At 35.0% G+C, this 20,289-nt stretch overlaps 1 long non-coding RNA gene and 1 other non-coding gene across 2 annotated transcripts in view; one reads left to right on the top strand and one right to left on the bottom strand.

Annotated features, from left to right (window-relative positions):
* Positions 1-20,289, bottom strand: part of DISC1FP1 (DISC1 fusion partner 1) — a 663,821-nt gene that overhangs the window by 340,599 nt on the left and 302,933 nt on the right. The window lies entirely within an intron of this gene.
* Positions 18,597-18,680, top strand: MIR4490 (microRNA 4490). The gene has a single exon (NR_039711.1). It is a non-coding gene; the product is annotated as a microRNA 4490 (primary transcript).

The following is a 20,289-nucleotide window of genomic DNA, read 5'->3' as shown; positions in this document are numbered from 1 at the left end:
AATAATAAAATAACCTAGGTGCTGAATATATGGAAACTTTCTGTAGTATATATGCAATTTGGGAGTAAATCTAAAACTCTTCTAACAATAGTGTTAATGTTCAAAACACCATAAAAAGACCAAAGATGCTGAAGGTGAGTCTCATGACTCACAAGAAACAGCAGATCTAGAAAGTTTTCTCTTTTTAACAATGCTTAAGGGAGTTAATTTGGCTCAAGATTTCTTAATGACTACAGAAAATAAATTGAGAATATCCTTATACAGATTATATAATTAACTGTATCAGCTGAATCCATAGCCCTGGTATATATCCCTTTATATATGAGTTAAATTATGAAAACACAAACAAAACTAATCCACAGAACCATTGCATTGAATGATAAGAATGCTTGAGATTTAACAATGAAATGTACTTTCACTCTTACTTTTAATGTATTTATTAGGATAACAATTTATTTCATTGATTCTAGATAAAAATTTTGGTAGCCCTAAAGAGTAACAAATTAAAGTTGTGACTTGAAATAATCATAGTATACCTTATTTCATAAAATGAACAACACAACAAAGCAAAAAAAAAAAAGAAATTAAGGCAAAAATCAAGAAATTCTTTTAAACTAATGAAAACAAGGATACAACATACCAATATCTCTGGGACACAGCTAAAGCAGTGTTAAGAGGAAAGTTTATAGCACCAAACACTTTAATCAAAAAATCAGAAAGATCTTAAATTTATAACCCAACATTACATCTGGACAAACTAGAAAAACAAGAGCAAATTAATCCCAAAGTTAGCGGAAGAAAAGAAATAACCAAAGTCAGAGCTGAACTGAATGACATTGAGATGCGAAAATCCATACAAAAGATTAACAAAATTAAAAGTTTATTCCTTGAAAGAATAAATAAGATAAATAGAGTGCTGGCTAGACTAATAAGGAAAAAAAAGAGAAAACCTAAATAAACACAATCAGAAACGACAAAGGTGACTGATATAGTTTGAATATTTGTCCCCACCAAACTCTTATTTTGAATTGTAATCCCCAATGCTGGGGGAGAGACATAGTGGAAGGTGCTTGGATCACGGGGTTGGCATACTCTTTTCTGATAGTGAATTCTAGTGAAATCTGGTCATTTAAAAGTGTGTCGCACCTCTCCCCACCTCTACCTCTTGCTTGCTCCTGCTTTTGCCCTGTGAAGTGCCTGCTCCCATTTCACCATCTGCCTTGACTGCAAGCTCCCAGACTCTTCACCGGAAGACAAGGATATGCCAGCACCATGCGTTGTATAAAGCCTGCAGCCATGAGCCAATTAAACCTCTTTTTTTTTTAATAAATGACCCAGTCTCAGGTTGTTCTTTATGGCAATGCAAGAATGGTCTAATACAGTGACATTACCACCAACCCCACAGAAATACAGAAAACCTTCAGAAACTATTATGAAAAGGTCCATGCACAGAAATTAGAAAACCTAGAAGAATTGGATAAATTCCTGGATATATGCAGCTTCCCAAGATTGAACCAGGAATAAATTGAATACCTGAAGAAATCAATAGAGTTCCAAAATTGAATAAGTAATTTAAAAAAACCTACCAACTAGTAAAGCCCTGGACCAAATGGAGTCACATCTGAATTCTATTAGATTTATGAAGAAAAGCTAGTACCAATACTACTGAAACTATTCAAAAAATTCCAGGAGGAGAGATTCCTCCCTAACTCATTCTATGAGGCCAGCATCATTCTGATACCAAAGCCTTAACCCAGCAACATCACATTACCTGATTTTAAATTATATTAGAAAGCTACAGTAACCAAAGTGCATGGTACTGGTATAAAAACAGAGCCAAAGACAAATGGAACAGGCTAGAGAATCCAGAAATAAAGTGACAAACCTACAACTATCAGATCTTCAATAAACCCTACAAAAATAAGCAACGAGGAAAGAATTTCCTATTCAATAAACGCTGCTGGGATAACTAGCTAGCCATATGCAGAATAAAACTGACCCTGTTCTTTTACCATATAACTTAACTCAAGATTTATTAAAGACTTAAATATAAAACCTAAAGCTATAAAAACCATTGAATATAGCCTAGGTAATACCATTCTGGACATAGACCTTGGCGAAGATTTTGTGACAAAGACTCCAAAAGCAATTGTAACAGAACCAAAAATGGACAAATGAGACCTAATTAAACTAACGAGCTTCTGGATAGTGAAAGAAACTATCAATAGAGCAAACAGGCAATCTACAGAATGAGAAAATATTTGCAAACTATACATGTGATAAAGATATAATATCCAGAATCTATAAGGAACTAAAACCAATCAACAAGCAAAAACCAAACAATCCCATTAAAATTCGGCAAAGGACATGAACACACACTTCTCAAAAGACGATATATACATGGCCAGTAAGCATATGAAAAAAATGCTGAACATTGCTGATCAATAGAGAAATGCAAATCAAAACCACAATGAGATACTATCTCACACCGGTCAGAATGGTATTTTTAAAAATTCAGAAAATAACAGTTGTTGGAGAGGTTGTGGAAAAAAGGAAATTCTTATACATTGCTGATGGGGATGTAAATTAGTTCAGCCACTGTAGAAAGCAGTTTGGAGATTTCTCAAATAACTTAAAACAGAACTACCGTTCAACTCATCAATCCCATTACTAGGCATATACTGAAAAGAATATAAATCATTCCAGGAGCCTGAGGCAGAAGAATCGCTTGGACCTAGGAGGTGGAGGTTGCAGTGAGCTGAGATTGTGCCACTGTACTCCAGCCTGGGTGACAGAGTGAGACTCTGTCTCAAAAAAAAAAAAAAAAGAATATAAATCATTCTACCATAAAGACACCACATGCATACATATGTTCACCGCAGCACTGTTCACAATAACAAAAACATGGAATCAACCTAGATGCCCATCAACAGTGGAATAAAGAAAATGTGGTACATAGAAACTATGGAGTACTATGCAACCATAAGAAAGAATGAAATCATGTCCTTTGCGACAACATGGATGGATCTGAAGGCCACTATCTTAGGAAAATTGACAGAGGAACAGAAAAATCAAATTGCATGTTCTTACTTATAAGTGGGTGCTAAACTTTGAGTATACATGGACACAAAGTGGGGAACAATAAACACTGGGGCCTACTGAGGGAGGAGGATAGGAGACAGGCGAGGATTTAAAAACTACGTATCTGGTACTATGGTCACTACCAGGGTGAGACCAAATCATTTGTTCACAAATCCCAAGCCATACAGTATTGATCCATGTGACATACCTGCACATATACTGCCTGAACCTAATACAAAAGCTGGAAAAAAATCAAACTTTAGTTCCTCTGTCATTTTAGTAGTAACGTGTTTTTTAAGTGCATTTATTTGCTGCTGTATTGGAAAGTGGAGAATATAAAACATTTTCATCACTAAAGAAAGTTACATTGGGTAGCACTATTTCACTTAAAGAAGAAAGAAGTCAGGATTACTGAAATTCCCTTTCCAAAGAAACAATAAAAAGAAAGAAAAAAAAAAAACTTACTGAATCTTTGGCCAGAAAAAACATAAGCAACTTTTTTTTTTGCCAAAGAAATTGACATAAAACAGCAGATTTGTAAAGGAGTAGAAGATTTAGAAGGCTCAATTCTCCCTACTCAACTACACAGAAGCATTATAAAAGAAAGAATACATGTATACACAATCCTCAAAATGTTCAATAAAATTCACTGAATTGAAAATATGTTTACCAAGATCATGAATAGGGAGCCCACAGAACACCCAAGAAAGACTTTTTAGAGTCAAAGGAATCTTTACTTCCTTAGAGTCTCAGCAGGCACAGGACTTCTCTAGTACAGAGGAAAGTTAAGAGCAAAGGCTGCAATAATATCAATATTAAACCAGTTCTCTTTCAAATACATAAGGGAGAAGTACAAAAAAAAGGAATTATTTCAGAGTTCCTCAACAAGAGTGCTATTAGTGTTTTGATTGGAACAGTTCTAGAATGTACAAAATTGTCTAGAACTTTATAAGATGTTTTACATACCTGAGCTTTGGTCACTAAATGCCAGTAATGTCCCATTGAGACAATCAGAAATGCCCCTTAAAATTTCCACAAGTTTTCCTAAACAGTTAGTACTATTAAGCCAGTTGAGAAAATCAAGAATTCTCAGCATAAAAGGGGCCAGACAGGCGTTACTGTATCCCCATGGGTTAATAACATAGAACCAAGTTTGAGAAAAGAACAAGACACCATTAGGAGAAGCAGTTAATTGACCAGAGATATTGGTAACTTATTGAATATATTTATCTGCTTAATATTTAAACCAAGTTTGAGAAAAGAACAAAACACCGTTATGAGAAGTAATCAATTGGCCAGAGAGATTGGTAACTTATTGAATATATTTATCTGCTTAATGTTTTGAAACAATTTTAAGGCTGTAGAGGCACTGAAACTTAATTGCTCAATTAATTGCCAAGTTAGAGCTACAGTTTTATTTATTGAACCAATTTTTTAACCTAAAAATGTTCAGACATCAGTCAGGATCTTCTCATAATTCAGGTTAACCTAATCAGAGACAAGGTATAGTTTAAATTTCATAACATTTCCTATACTGCTATAACAAATAACCACAAATTTAGTGGCTTCAAATGATACAAATTTACCGTCTTACAGTTCTAGAAGTGAGAAATGGTTCTCCTTTGACTAAAATCAAGGTGTTGGCAGACAGGGCTGTAACTTTCTGCAGGTGCTAGAGGGTACTTCCTTGCTTTTTTCCAGCTTCTGGAAATTGCTCATATTCCTTCACTCATGGCCCTTTCTTCCATCTTTAAGTTAGCAATGCCAGGCCAATTCCTTTTCACATGATTGTCTTTCTTTCACTCTCTCTACGTCTCCCTCTTCCACTTTATAAGGACCCTTGTGATCCATTGGCCCCACTGAAATAATTGAAGATAATATTTCCATTTCAAGGCTAGCTGGTTAGGACCTTAATTCACCTTTGCCATGTAACCTAATATATCCACAGATTCTAAGCATTAGGAGACAGGTATGTTGGGGAGGTTGGGGGGTGGCGGGTGGCAGATTATTCTGCTTTCATTTACTTAAAAAGTTTAGAGTGTTAGGATCTTCTTGCAATTTAATTCAGATAGTCCTAGTTAGAGACAAGATATAGTTTAAACTGTATGTTAAATGACATTCTTAACATTTTATGAAAACTCTTAGTTTTATTATATCTTTGTAATCATAAAGAAAATCACTTAAATGAATTTAAATATTTTTAAATTGCCTAGCAGAAAGAACATAGAATACTTACATTGTAAGACAGTATTATTGTTAAAATATTATACTATTTCATGTGGGCCAAAACTAAAATTTAGATTTTGACTGTTTTCCAGAAAACTGAATCTCAACTTTTGTTTCCAGCTCTAAAAACACACACACGCATGCACCCAAACACAATGGAACAAGGAAAGGATCTAAATTTCAATATGAGTTAATTATACATTATAATATTAATTATATAACTAAATAACTATTAGAATATTCAGGATATTGTATCCCTTATTCCCAGCAGTCTAAAATTGCCATGTTTCAGAGAGGAGAAAACTTTGTTTATATGAAGATAGTCTGCTTGATCTAAGAACGCAAAGATTGGCACTATTGTATTTAATGCCCTTTAAAACTACATTTGAGGATCTGTACTGGATTTAACTGAATCTCCAGTGAAATATATATTTTAAAACTTATATTATTGATTTTAATTATATTTTTCCTCAATCTTATTTCAGATAATTTTATCATCTCTATAGGTGCTATTTTGTTATGCTTCTTATCATTTCATCATACAGATCTCTAATATCACATGAAATTTTTTTACTAAATATTTTGAACTTGAACAATCTCATTTATTGCAGTAAAAAAAAAAAAAACAAAACACCTCCCAGTATGTGGTTCTCTTTGAGCATCAAAGGAAAGATGACTAACAATATTATAAATATTATATTTTGGTTGTTTTTTGTTTTTGGATCAGCAATTTATTTTAATTCTTTAGTCTGTTTACCCACTCAAAATTAGGATTGTTGCTATTGACTGGATTTTTAAAAAGTAATTTAAAATGTCTAATAATATTCTCACTCACAGAAGTTAAATGGCTAATAGGTAAAAGTAATCTATAAATTGTAAATTACTATTTGAATGTTATATGTAATTATAAAATGTGTGTTCATTTCTGAATTATGTAGGTGGCAACTAGGAATGACCGAAAATAAGATCTGGTGAACTTTATGCCTCATTTACACACTATTTTGTCAGAAAACCCTATTTTATCTGTGTTACTGCCAATATTTCTCTTAGGGGAAATGTAAATAGTGTATTATTTTTAGATAATTAGAAAAAGTTGAGGTTTGCTGGAAAAAGATTTTTTTTAATAGGACTATAGTGGTTTATAGTATCTGAGGACCTGGCATCAAGTAGAAAAGTTAGCATTTCCTCTTTATCAAAGTTAACATGCAGTGTATGAAAAACAAGCCTATCTCACAAATGTGGTCTTCCACACTATCACAAAATTTTGCACACTTTCAATTTTTCTTGTAGGACTACATTTTGTCACTGTGTTTTGTTCCGTTTATATTCATTTTGTTTTTTAAACTTTTATTTTAATTTCAGGGGTATATGTGCAGGTTTGTTACACGGGTAAATTGTGTCATGGGGGTCTGTTGTACAGTTTATTTCATCACCCTAGATATTAAGCCTAACTAACTTTCCCAATTTTGCTTGTTTTTTTAAGTTAAAAATAAATAAATAAATAAATAAATAAACAGTCTCTTTACAACTACATATTGGTTGAGAGAACTAAGGGAGGGGTAAAACTTCTGTTCTTGAGGTATAGTGTCAAAAATTATTGGATTTATTTTGGGAATAACCACTACTCAGAATAATAATACATCAAAAAACAAAAGAATAGGGCAGAACAAGAGTTCTTGTAACATGAGAACAAAGTTGAGAATTGGCCACATGAACTGGGAAGATTTACAGTGAGCAAAACTGAGGTAAAAAATCAGACTGAATGTGGTTGGCAAATTTCCTACTCATAGACAGGATCAGTTGTTCTATAATAGGAAAACAAGAAAAGAAAGTTGACAATAAATTACCACCACAAAGAACTACCTTTGCAATAAGGACTTAAGTAATAAGTTAACATTTTGATGGCCATCCTGAACAGCAAGTCAGGCCCTCAAGGAAAAACGTGGGAAAGCTCACTCAAAATGTTCTAGTGTTTTATCACATTGTCACAGTAGTTGCTAGAAGTAAAGAAGAAAGCACTTGATCTTTCATTAAAAAAAAAGAAGAAAGAAAACAAAAAAAATGCATGGAAGAAGGAGAGGAAAAAGTATTTTAAACTTCTATGACATTTTCTATGTCATCAAAGTGCTTTAATTTTATAGACCCTGAGATGCTTTCAAAAAATTACCAAGCGTATATTTTATTATCTTCAGTCTATTAATGAAGAGTTGGAGGTTAGTTGGTCAGCCAGACACAACATAGCAAGTCACTAAAAGATCTTGTATCAACTCTTTCAAATCTCTTAAGTATCCTTTTTGGGTTTTTTTTCCCCCAAGATGGAGTCTTGCTCTGTTGGACAGGCTGGAGTGCAGTGGCACATTGTCGGCTCACTGCAACCTCCACCTCCCAGGTTTAAGCAATTCTCCTGCCTCAGTCTCCTGAGTAACTGGGACTACAGTTGTGCACCACCATGCTCGGCTTAACTTTTTGTATTTTTAGTAGAGACAGGATTTCACCATGTTAGTCAGGCTGGTCTCGAACCCTTGACCTCATGATTCGCCTGCCTTGGCCTCCCAAAGTGCTGGGATTATAGGCGTGAGTCGCCACACCTGGCCTAAGTATGCTTTTTTTTATAAAAAGTAATAATGTTTTTTAAAACTTGAGCTCATTAAGGAGTCTGTTACCTAATGGTCCAATATTAGCATAAATTAGCTAATTATTTCTCTAATAAACAGAGTAAAAGCATTAGATCTGCCAGTCTCTTCTAAGTTCAATTTCAGCAGTGCCATTTTTTAGGACACTGGCAGTCATAGTCACACTACTATTTTTTAATACCAGTTTGGCAAAAGAATAAAATAAATGAGAAAACATAACAGATGCTTCACGCACTGTGTTAGACACTACAGTTTAAAAGAGAAATAAATACTGAGCCTAACCTGGATGGGCATACAGCTAAGTAAAGGAGATAAGCGTAAATAAATCGTTAAATCATATCTTTCCTACTGTTACTTAAGAGGTATAGCCATGAGTGACTATGCCGGCAGGGGAAAACATGGCTTCTTAGAAGACATGAATTACAGTGAAATCATAAAAGATATTCCAGGAGAGAACTTTCACTTCTGATTAATTTTTTTAAGTAGCAAAACTATGTCCCTCCCTCACAAATAAAGAGAACAAGTAGAATAAGAAATGAAATCATAGGAACTCAATGAGCCCAACACATCAAGCAAATCTGCACTCACTCAATTGTTTTCCACAGGCCTTTACTGAGAGCATATAAGTAGTAAAGTGAGGACCAGATAAAGCAAGAGCTGAGTAAGCTCCTTAGGAAGACAGGGACATTCTCAAGTACCAGGCTGAAGCCCATTGAAAACTGGGAGCAAGACAGAAAATCTCAGAGAATGACTTTCAAGTATTCTAGGTCTTGATGGGTATAAGGCAGTGTCTCTGGAAGCCTGAAAATTCAGAAAAATTCAGCTGATGCACATTGCTTTCAATTATACTTCAGAACAACCACTAGATAGATCATATACTGCATGATACAATATGTATCAAAAATTCCAAATGATAAAGATAATACAGAATGTGTTTTCTGACCACAATGGTGATAGATTGATAATTAGTAACCCTGGGATATTTAGAAAATCCCAAAATATATGGAAATTAAGCCTCAGAAGTCTATACAACTTGTAAACAAAAAATAAAATCACAGGGGAAATACTAAGATATTTTCAATTAGAAGGTACAGAAAACACAGTATATATATTAAGCTCTAGAGTTAGCAGCTATAGAAGTTTTAAAATGAAATTTATAGCTTTAAATGCCCATGTTGGTAAAAAAAAAAAAAAAAAAAAGAAAAAAAGAAATGTGTAAAACCAATAATCTAAACTGCCAAATTAAGGTAGTGAAAAAATAGCAAGTTTAGCCTACAATGTGACACAACACTTTTCAAGCACTGTTAACCTCAATTCATATCCAGAAAAGTATTTTCAGTGGAAATCAACACATTCTCAGATGAAGAAAAATAAGATATATCATCACCAATGCATCTACCTTAAAATGATGGCTAAATGAAGTTCCCTAAACGAAGATGATATAAAAAGGGATCTTGGAACATCAGGAACATTGTTTTCATTTAAAACAATGAAAATAGTTTTAAAATGAGTGAATATAATAGAATTTGATTCTCATTAGTTTTCTAGGTTATATTTCGTTATTAAACCAAAAATTATACCACTGCCTGATGTATGTCTCAATGTATGCAGAGGGAAAAAATAAGGTAGTTGTATCTTCTTAGTTTTTAGAAGCTATTTACACTGAGTAAAAAATTCTAGATTAACAGTTTGGGTTTTCTTCTGTTTCCTTTAGTGTTTTAAGGAACTACTCTACTGTCTCTCTATTGCATTGTTTCTGGCAAGAAAACTGCTGTCATCTTATTTTTGTCTCTCCTTATGTAACATTTTTTTTCCTCTAGCTGCTAAGGCTTTTTCCTGATCTGTTGTTTTGAGCACTATGATTATGGTAAGCCAGATGATAATTTTGTATTTTCATTAATTGGGGTTCATTGAAATTCTTAAACGTATTGGTTTATAATTTTCACTAAACTTGGAAAAATTTTGTCCATTATCTCTAGAAGTATTTTACTGTCCTCCCCTTCCACTGTATCCTTGTATCCTTTTTTTTTTCTAGCACTCCAAATTACACATACACATGGCTACTTGAAATTGGCATACTTCTCACTGATGCTCTTTTCTTTCTTTCTTTTTTAAAATTCAATTATCTTTCTGTGTTTCATATTGGGTGATTTCCATTGTTATGTTTTTAAGCTTGCTAATATTTTATTTCTGAAATATCTATTCTTATAATTCTCATCAGTTTATTTTTCTCTTTCTCTTTTTATAATTTCAACTTTTATTTTAGATTAAGGGAGTACACGTGAAGATTTGTTACACAGGTATATTGTGTGACACTGAGGTTTGAAGTATGAATGATCCCATCACCCAGGTAATGAGCATAGTACCCAGTAGGTAGTTTTGCAGCACTTGTCCCCATTCCCCTCTTCCTTCTTTACTAATCCTCAGTGTCTATTGTTATCATCTTTATGTCCATAGGTACCTGGTGCTCCTTAATAACTTAAGTGAGAACATGTGGTATTTGGTTTTCTGCTCCTGCCTTAATTTGCTTAGGATAACAGCCTCCAGCCATATCCAGGTTGCTGTGAAGGATCTGATTTCATTCCTTTCTATTGGTGCATAGTACTCCATTGTGTCCATGTACCATATTTTCTTCATGCAATCCATGGCTAATGTGCACCTACATTGATTCCATGTCTTTTCTATTGTGAATATTGCAGCGATGAACATATTAGTGTGTGTGTGTCTTTTTAGTACAACAATTTTTTTTCCTTTGAGTACATACCAAGTAATGGGATTGCTGGGTCAAATGGTAGTTCTGTTTTAAGTTCTTTGAGAAGTCACCAAACTGCTTTCCACGGTGGCTGAACTAATTTACATTCCCAACAAGAGTGTTTAAGAGTTCTCTTTTCTCTGCAGCCTCACCAGGATCCATTATTTACTGACATTTTATTAATAGCCATTCTGACTGATGTGAGTTAGTATCTCATTGTGGTTTTGATTCACCTTTTTCTGATGATTGATAATGGTGAGCCTCTTTTCATATGTTTTTTGGCCACTTATATGTCTTCTTTTGATATATGTCTGTTCATGTTGTTTGCCCACCTTTTAAGGGGGTTATTTCTTTTTTGTTTGTTGAATATTTTAAGTTCCTTATAGATTATAGATAATAGACCTTTTTCAGATGTATTGTTTGAAAATATTTTCTCTCATTCTGTAGGTTGTCTGTTTACTCTGTTGATACTTTCTTTTGATGTGCAGAAGCTCTATTTAGTTCTATTAGGTTCCACTTGTCAGTTTTTGTTTTAATTGCAATTACTTTTGAGGACTTAGTCATAAATTATTTTTCAAGGCCAACGTCCAAAATGGTATTTCCTTGGTTTTCTTCTAGAATTCTTGTGGCTTGAGGTCATATACTTAAATCTTGAATCCATCTTATGTTTTGTACGTGGTGCAAGGAAAAGGTCCAGTTTCATTCTTCTGCATATAGCTAGCCAACTACCCAGCACCACTTACTGAATACAAAGTCTTTCCCCCATTGCTTATTTTTATATGCTTTGTTGAAGATCAGATGGCTGTAGTTGTGTGGTTTTACTTCTGGATTCCCTAACCTGTTCCATTTGTCTATGTGCCTGTTTTTGTACCAGTACCATGCTTCTTTGGTTCTGTAACCTCAAGTATAGTTTGAAGTCAGGTAGTTTTATGCCTCTGGCCTTGTTTTTTTGTGGTTGTTGTTGTTCTTTTTTTTTTTCCTTTTTTTTTTTCTTAGGATTGCTTTAGCTACTCAGGCTCCTTTCTGATTTCATGTGAATTTTAGAATAGTTTTTTTTTTTTCTAATTCTGTGAAATATGATAGGAATAGTGTTGGATCTCTACATTGCTTGGAAGTTTGGCCATTTTAACAATATCACTTCTTCTAATCCCTAAGCATGGAATGTTTTTCCATTTGTTTGTGTCATCTATTATTTATTTGTCAGCAGTGTTTTGTAGCTCTCCCTGTAGGGACTTTTCAACTCCTTGTATATAAATATTTCCAGGTATTTTATTCTGTGTGTGTGGCTGTTGTAAATGGGATTATGTTCTTGATGTGGCTTTCAGCTTGAACGTATCCTGAAACTTTACTTTAGTATTTTATCAGGTCTAAGAGCCTTTTGAAAAATACTTCAGAATTATATCACTGGTGAAGGGAGAAAATTTGAATTCTTTTCCTATTTTAGTGCCTTTTCTTTCTCTTGCTTAATTGCTCTGGCTAGGACTTCCAATAATATGTTGAATAGGAGTGGTGAGAGTAAGCATGCTTGTCTTGTTTCTGATTTTAAGGGGAATGCCTCCAGCTTTTCCCCTTTCAGTATGATGTTTGTTGTGGGTTTGTCATAGATGGCTCTTATTATTTTAAGGTATATTTCTTGATGCCTAGATTGTTGAGGGGTTTTATCATGAAAGGAAGTTGGATTTTATCAAAAGCATTTTTCACATTTATTGAGATGATATGATTTTTGTTTCTAGTTGTTTATGTGGTAAATTACATTTATAGATTTTGGTTTGTTGAACCAATGTTGCATCCAAGGAATGAAGCCTACTTGATCCTGGTGAATCAACTTTTATGTGCTTCTGGATTTGGTTTGCTAGTATGTTATTGAGGATTTTTGTATCTATTGCCATTAGGAATATTGGCTTGTAGTTTTCTTTTGTGTCATGTCTTTGCCAGGTTTTGATATCAGGGTGATGCTGGCTTTGTAGAATGAATTAGAAAGGAGCCTCTCCTTGATTTTTGGGAATAGTTTTAGTAGAATGACACCAATCTTCATTGTATATCTGTTAGAATTTGGCTATAAATCCATGTAGTTGGAGGCTTTTTTCAGACAGTAGGGATTTTTAAATTGTTAATTCAATTGCAGAACTTGATATTTGTCTGTTCAGGGTTTCAAATTCTCCTGATTCAAACTTGGGAGGTTGTATGTTTCCAAGAATTTATGTATTTCCTCTACATTTTCCGGTTTGTCTACAGAGAGTTATTCATAATAGTCTCTCAAGATCTTCTGTATTTCTATGGTATTGGTTGTAATGTCACCTTTGTTGTTTCTGATGGTGCTTATTTGGATCTTATCCTGTTTTCTTTGTTATCTGGCTAGCAGTCTATTGATCTTGTTTATCCTTTCAAAAACCAACTTTTGATTGTGTTGATTTTTTTGTATGGATTTTGGAGTCTCAAATTCATTTAGTTCTGCTCTGATTTTAGTTATTAATATTTTTCTGCTAGCTTTGGTGTTAGTTTGTTTTTGTATTTCTAGTTCCTATAGGTGTGATAGTACATTGTTACTAAAAGATCTTTCTAACACTTTGATGTAGGCTTTAACACTGTAAACATTCCTGTTTTAGCTGTGTCCCAGAGATTTTGATATATTGTATCTCTATTTTCATTAATTTCAAATGATGTTTTGATTTCTGCCCTAATTTCATTTTTTACCCAAAAGTCACTCAGAAGCAAGTTGCTTAATTTCCATATAATTCTGTGGTTTGGAAAGATCTTCTCAATTTTTATTCCTATTTTTATTCCACTGTAATAATATGAGAGTATGTTTGGTACGATTTCAATTTTTTGGAACTTATTGAAACTTGTTTTACAACTGAGCATGTGCTTGATCTTAGGGTATGCTTTACGTGTAGATGAGAAGAATGTATATTATGTGACCGATGGGTGGAGTATTCTGTAGATATCTATTATGTCTAATTTGTCAAGGGTTGAATTTAAGTCAAGAGTTTCTTTGTTAGTTTTCTGCCTTAATAATATGTCTAATGCTGTCAGTGGGGTGTTGACATCCCCCACTATTATTGTATGGCTGTCTGTCTTTTCACAGGTCAAGAAGTACTTGTTTTATGAATCTGTGTGCTCCAGTGTTGGGTTTCCATATATTTAAGATAATCAAGTCTTCCTGTTGAATTAAACCGTTTATCATTATGTAATGCTCTCCTTTGTCCCTTTTTACTGCTGTTGGTTTATAGTCTGTTTTATCCGATATAAGAATAGGACCCTCTGCTCTTTTTTGTCTTTCATTTGTGTGATAGGTCTTTCTCCAACCCTTTACTTTGAGCCTACAGGTGTCATTACATGTCAGATGGTTCTCCTGAAGACAGCAGATGGATGGTTCTTATTTCTATCCAATTTTCCACTCTGTGCCTTTTAAGTGGGGCATTTAGAACATTTTCATTAATGGTGAATATTGTTATGTGAGGTTTTAATTCTGTCTTGAAGCTTTTAAGAGATTGCTTTATAGTTTCTATTGTGTGGTTGCTTTATGGGGTCTATGGGTTGTAAACTTAAGTGTGCTTTTGTGGTAGCAGATATTTTTCTTTTGTTTCCATGCTAAGAACTCCCTTAAGAAGCTCTTGTAAGGTTGGTCTAGTTTTAACAAATTCCCGTAGTGCTTACTTATTTAAATTTTTTTTTCTCCACTTATGATGCTTACTTTGGCAGGATATAAAGTTCAGTTGGATTTTTTTTCTTTCAGAGTGCTGAACAGGCCTCCAATCTCTCCTGGCTTGTAAGGTTTCTAACGAGAAGATCTGACTTTTATTTCTCTAATTGCCTTTAAGAATTTTTCTTTAGCATTGATCTTGAAAAGCTTGGTAACTAACTCTCTTGGTGATGTTAATTTTATAAAGTATCTTTCAAGTGTTCCCTGAATTTCTTTTAGCTCCATGTCTACCTTTCTAAGATTAGGGACATTTTCTGAATTATTCTCTCAAGTATGTTTTCCAGGTTGTTTACATTTTTCCTTCTTGCTCAGGAATGCCTGTTATATGTAGCTTTGGTCACTTTACATAATCCCATATTTCGTGAAGAATATTTATTTTAAAAAACCTTTTTTCTTTATTTTTGTCTCACTGGATTACTTCAAAAGACTGGTCTTCAAGCTCTGAAATTCTTTCTTCTATTTGATCTAGTATATTGATAAAGCTTTTGACTGTATTTTAAAATTCTTTAAGTGAGTCTTTTAATTCCAGAAGCTCTGATTTCTTTTTAATATGTATATCTCTTCCTTCTTTTTCTGGATTGCTTTTGAATTTCTGTGTGTTGGTTTTCAACCTTGCCTTAACTCATTGATCTTCCTTGCAATCCATGCACTGAATTCCTTATTTGTCACTTCTAAGTTTCCATTTTTATTAGGGATCATTGTTGGACAGCTCATGAAATCCTTTAGTGGTGTCACTACATTTATGTTTTTCATGGTGCCAGAATTCTTGCACTGGTTCCTTTCATTGGGAGATGCTAACACTTCTAATTTTTGTAATTATTTTGGAGCAGATAAAATTTTTTCTTTTCTTTTTTGTTTTTTTTTTTTTTTGAGATGGAGTTTCGTTCTTGTTGCCCAGGCTGGAGTGCAATGGCGCGATCTTGGCTCACTGCAACTTCCATCTCCCGGGTTCAAGCAATTCTCCTGCCTCAGCCTTCCTGAGTAGCTGGGATTCTAGGCATGTGCCACCATGCTGGCTAATTTTGTATTTTCAGTAGACACAAGTTTCCTCCATGTTGGTCAGGCTGGTCTCGAACTCCCAACCTCAGGTGATCTGCCCGCCTTGGCCTCCCAAAGTGCTGGGATTACAGGTGTGAGACACTGCACCTGGCCGTTTCTTTCTTTTTCTGTATTATTATCATTTTCTCTTTTACTTTCCTCCCCTTTCCCTCCACACCCCACCACCAACAGAGGGTGTGATTATAGAGAATGCTGGACAGGGTCTTTGGATTTTGCTTCTATAGCCCTATGCATTTCTGTCAGCAGGCTTTTTATTGGACTTTGCTGTTCAACTAACAAGTTCATAGATGATGTTAATGAGTAACAGCTAGCTGTGGCCAACATGGCTAAGTATATACTTAATCCTTGTTTACTAGGAGAAGCTCTCATTGCCTAAGGCAATGGGCTAATCCACGGGTTGCACAGTGGGCTGAGCTCCATGCTCAACCTCAGGAGAGGGAGCCAAGTTGGGTGGGGCTTCTCTGGGCAGGCCCACCTACAGGTCCCCCAATGGCAGGCACAAGCGCCAACACCGGGGAGAATCCAGTGCCAGCCACAAAGTGCCCAGACATATGCCTAGGTGTGGCACTAAGAAACCTCCTTGGCTCCAAGTTTTCTACATGAGTATGGGTGTCATCTAAACACCGAACCCAGGAGAGTGAGTTCTCCAGATGCCTGAAGATCTACCTAGGTGTGAAGTGTAGAAGGCTTTGCTTCATCACAATCTCTGTACAAGAAGGGTAGAGTGGCTCAGGCTGCTGTTTCAAGTGAGTGGGTGCTCTAAATGCCTGGAGATCTGCCTGGGATAGAGCAGGGAAAGCCCCACTGCACGATGATCTATGCACAGGTAGGGAGGGGTGGGTGAGTCTGCTGATATACCAGATAAGCAGGTGCTCCAAATGCCCGGAGATTTGCCTGGGCATGGAATGGATAGGGCCTTAACATACCATGATCTCAAGGGTGAAGGCTGGGATACCCAGCAGTGACACAAGCCACCAAGCTGGCCCTGGCTTCATGTCACCAGCTAGAAGAAACTGCAGCAGTAGCAGCTCTTCTCTAGCCCCAGGCTTGTGATGGGGGAGGGCATAAATCCAGCACCTACTGCTGAGGAACTTCCCACAGTTCTATCTGTGGAGGCCCCCGTCCCACTCGAGAGCAAGCACTCCAATCTCTGGTTCGAGATTAAAATACCTGTGAGGCCACACTGATGGGTTACTAAAGAGTGACTGACATTTTATGCATCTGAATTAAAAATGGTATCCTGCTCTTGGTCCCGGGTCTTGGAAGATGCCTGCAACTTTTCCCAGTGTCTCTCTCTCTCTCAGTGTCTCCAACCTTTTCCCCAGGATAGCTCCAGGGCTTTGGAGAAATAAAGTGCTCTCCCATGTCCTGGGTTGCTCAGATTCCCAGTGCAAAAGCAAGTCACAGAGGTAAGCTTTCTGCCAATCTCACCAACTGAGGCTTAACTCATTTTTATCAGCCAGACACCATCACTGCGACAGTTTGCCCACCTTTTTCCCAGGATCTGGGATGTCTTTCACAATTGCAGTGGTTTCCTGTTTGTCTTCTTGAATTAAAGCTCAGAGAGTAGATTTTTATGCACTATTTTGCTATTTCCAAGTAGCTGAGGCACACTAAAAGCCTCTAATCTGCCATCTTGGGGAAAAAAAAAAAAAAACTTGTATTTTTCACTACAAAATTTTTAGTCTTTACCTCTGGAATTTGATTTGTATATTTTTTGGTATCTACCCTGTCATAGTTATAACTATGATAATATCCTCATCCTTTAACATCTGTGTCAGTCGTGAATTGGTTTTGTCTAAATGTTCTCCTGAATATTGTTTTCATTTTCTTGCTTTTCAGCTTGCAAAATAATAATAAATACTAAACATTAAGGATTTTGTACTTTAGGGGACAGATTTTTAATATTCTTTTTAAAAAACAGTCAAAAGTTTCATTTTGGTACTCACTTAAGTCAATTAGATAGAGTGTGTTTCTTATATGTCTTGCTAATTTTTATAAATCAAGAACAGTGTAGCATTTAGCATAGTGTTAAATTATCCTTCTAAGGCAAGAACCTTCTGTGTTCTCTACCTAATGCCTCATGAATTTCTCGATTCTCTTTGGAACAGGCACTTGTCCCAGCACCTGTTTAAGCACTAGTCACTATTTCCTCTAATAATAGAGTCTGACGTGGTTCCTTCTCAGGCCTGATACAGTTACTGTGCATGCATGAGCTTGTCAACACTCAGCTGAATATTTGAGGAGACTCCTCTGTTGATCTCTAGAGTTCTCGCTCTTTGTAGCATTCCTTTCTCTGCCCTGGTAACTCTAGTCACCTTCTTATTCCTCAACTCTTAGTTTTGTCTCCACAACACGGGAATTCAAAGGTCTCCAACTGAATGCTATCTCCCTGTGCTGCTGCCTAGAAATTCACCGCACTGAATTGGAAGAATTTTTAGGATTTATTTGTTTCTCATCTTTCAGAGATTACTTTTTTTTTTGTTTTCAAGCAACCAGTGCCTTGTTAGCCATTGTATCATGTTTTGGTTTTTTCAAGCTGTAACATACATTCATCCTTATTGCTCAATCTTGCCCAGAAGTAGAAGTTCCAATGTATTTTTTAAATGGATGAAATCATTTGGAATCATACTAGTTACAAGGTTGAAGGAAACAGTCTCAATTACATTGCCTAGAATAACAGATTGTAACATTTTTGTTATAATAGTTAAATAGTTTGAACATCTAGGCTGTCAAGTGTAACAACGAATCTCTGTCTTGGTGCAACAAACTGTTCTGAAGTAACCACTTTGAAGAGTTGGGCCTTCTCAAAGCCTGAAGTTGTGAAAGTAATTTCTGATTCAACAACCAGCTAAGAATGACTAGAAATTATCTATTCAATATAATAAAATATTGTGAGTGTTTTGTAAAATTATCACAGAAGAGAAGAAGCTGGTGTGTAAAGCAGAAGAGTTTTAAAATAGGAAAATCAAAGTTCCAACATTTTAAGTGAAATAGTAAAAGATATGTGACCTTGTTTTGTACCTTAGGCTGATTAAGTGTAATGATCATTACACAAATAATCATTCATGGATTTTTATTTATATAGTTTGGAATTTTTATTTATATATATAGTTTGACATTTTTTATTTAAGTATGTAGTATAGTTTCTGCAATGCTCAAATCTCTGGCCAAAGACCAGAACTTAATGGTCTCTGGTAAGAGATTTGGGCATATTAGAAACTAAACTAATTACCCCAAAATGTCAGAGATAGACATTATTACGTTCTCACTGGAGTCTCTGGCTTTTTAAATACATTTTTAATTTTTTTTCTTTTTTTTGTTATCAGATATACTGAAAATTCAGTTAAGCCACACTCAGTGGGGCATAAAGTATGAGTTCATGAGTATCTGCACTAGGACAAATAAAATAAGCATCTCACTAATGTAATTATCATCTGTCTATTTAAAACCTATCACAATATTTGAAATATACTAAACACTAAATAAATGTTTGCCGATTGAGTGAATTAGCAGAAGGCATGTTAGAACATGGGCTATTGATGGGGTTTTTAACAATAAGTGATATAAAAAGGTTACTTGGTGAGAGAAGCTCAAAATCACAAAAGACTTCAAAAGTTAGAGATATGATTAAAAGACTAAGTAATGGGAATAATTTATTTGGAAAGAGAGAGAGGTGAGAGAGAGTTAGTATTGTTTGTGTCAATGTCCACTTGCTTTTCATAACAGTTCCATTTCATAGGATAATGTACAAAAATATTACAAATTATACATGAGAAGGTAAATTTACTTTTGCAAAGTGTTTTAGCAACATGTATGTTACATAGAAATTATTTACAACAAAGAATATGTGTGCAGAGGGAACATTTTGGGTAAAAGCATAGGCTGATTTCTTCATGGACCTGTGCAACCTCTAAACCTTCCTTCCTTTATGAATGCACTGAAATCCTACACATAGGACTTTGACTTCATAATGGATTCTGAGAGCAGTAATTCAACTTATGTTATAAATAACTGATCTCTCTGACCTCATCTTGAATATAGTTCTTAAAAGTATTTACTGAATTAATGGATGTTTAGGACAGAGGCCTTAACCAGAAGGGAGACAGGAAAGGGGAGAAGGAGAAGAAAAGAAGGAGGGAGGGAGGGAAAGAGAGAGATAGTAAGACATCAGGACATGCTGAAAGCCAGTGGATGAGATAAAAATCATGAAACCATATCATGGTAGAAAGATAAAACAAAAGGGAGACGCTGGAGCTGCACTGTCCATTACTGCAGCCAATAGGCAGGTGTGGCTAATGAGCATCTGACATTTGACTCCTCCCAATTGAGATTTGCTATGAGTGTAATATATACAGTAAATCTGAAAACTTATTAAAAAAAACCTTGTTAATGACTTCATATTGAATATACCATCATGAGCCACATTACAAACTGTTGGTCAACAACTGATTGCATGTATAACGGTAGCTTCATAAAATTATAATAAGGTAATTTTACTGTGCCTTTTCTATGTTTAGATGTTTAGATACGCAAGTATTTATCATTGTGGTACAACTGCCTATAGTATTCAGTACAGTAACATGCTGTATAGATTTGTAGCAATAGGCTATACCATATACCCTAGGTGTAGGGTAAGCTATCCCATCTAGGTTTGTGTAAGTACACTCTCTGATGTTTGCACAATCATGAAATTACTTAACAATGCATTTCTCAGAACGTATCCCTGTCATTAAGTGATGGATGACATACATTGAAAACTATGTTTTGGACATATTGGGGTAAATTAAATAACTATTGAAATGAATTTTACCAGTCTTTTCACTTTTATAGCA

This window comes from Homo sapiens, chromosome 11 (assembly GCF_000001405.40).
Source record: "Homo sapiens chromosome 11, GRCh38.p14 Primary Assembly".
NCBI classification, from domain to species: domain Eukaryota; kingdom Metazoa; phylum Chordata; class Mammalia; order Primates; family Hominidae; genus Homo; species Homo sapiens.
The sequence above is the reverse complement of the archived record's forward strand: the minus strand, read 5'-3'. Positions and strand labels throughout refer to the sequence as shown.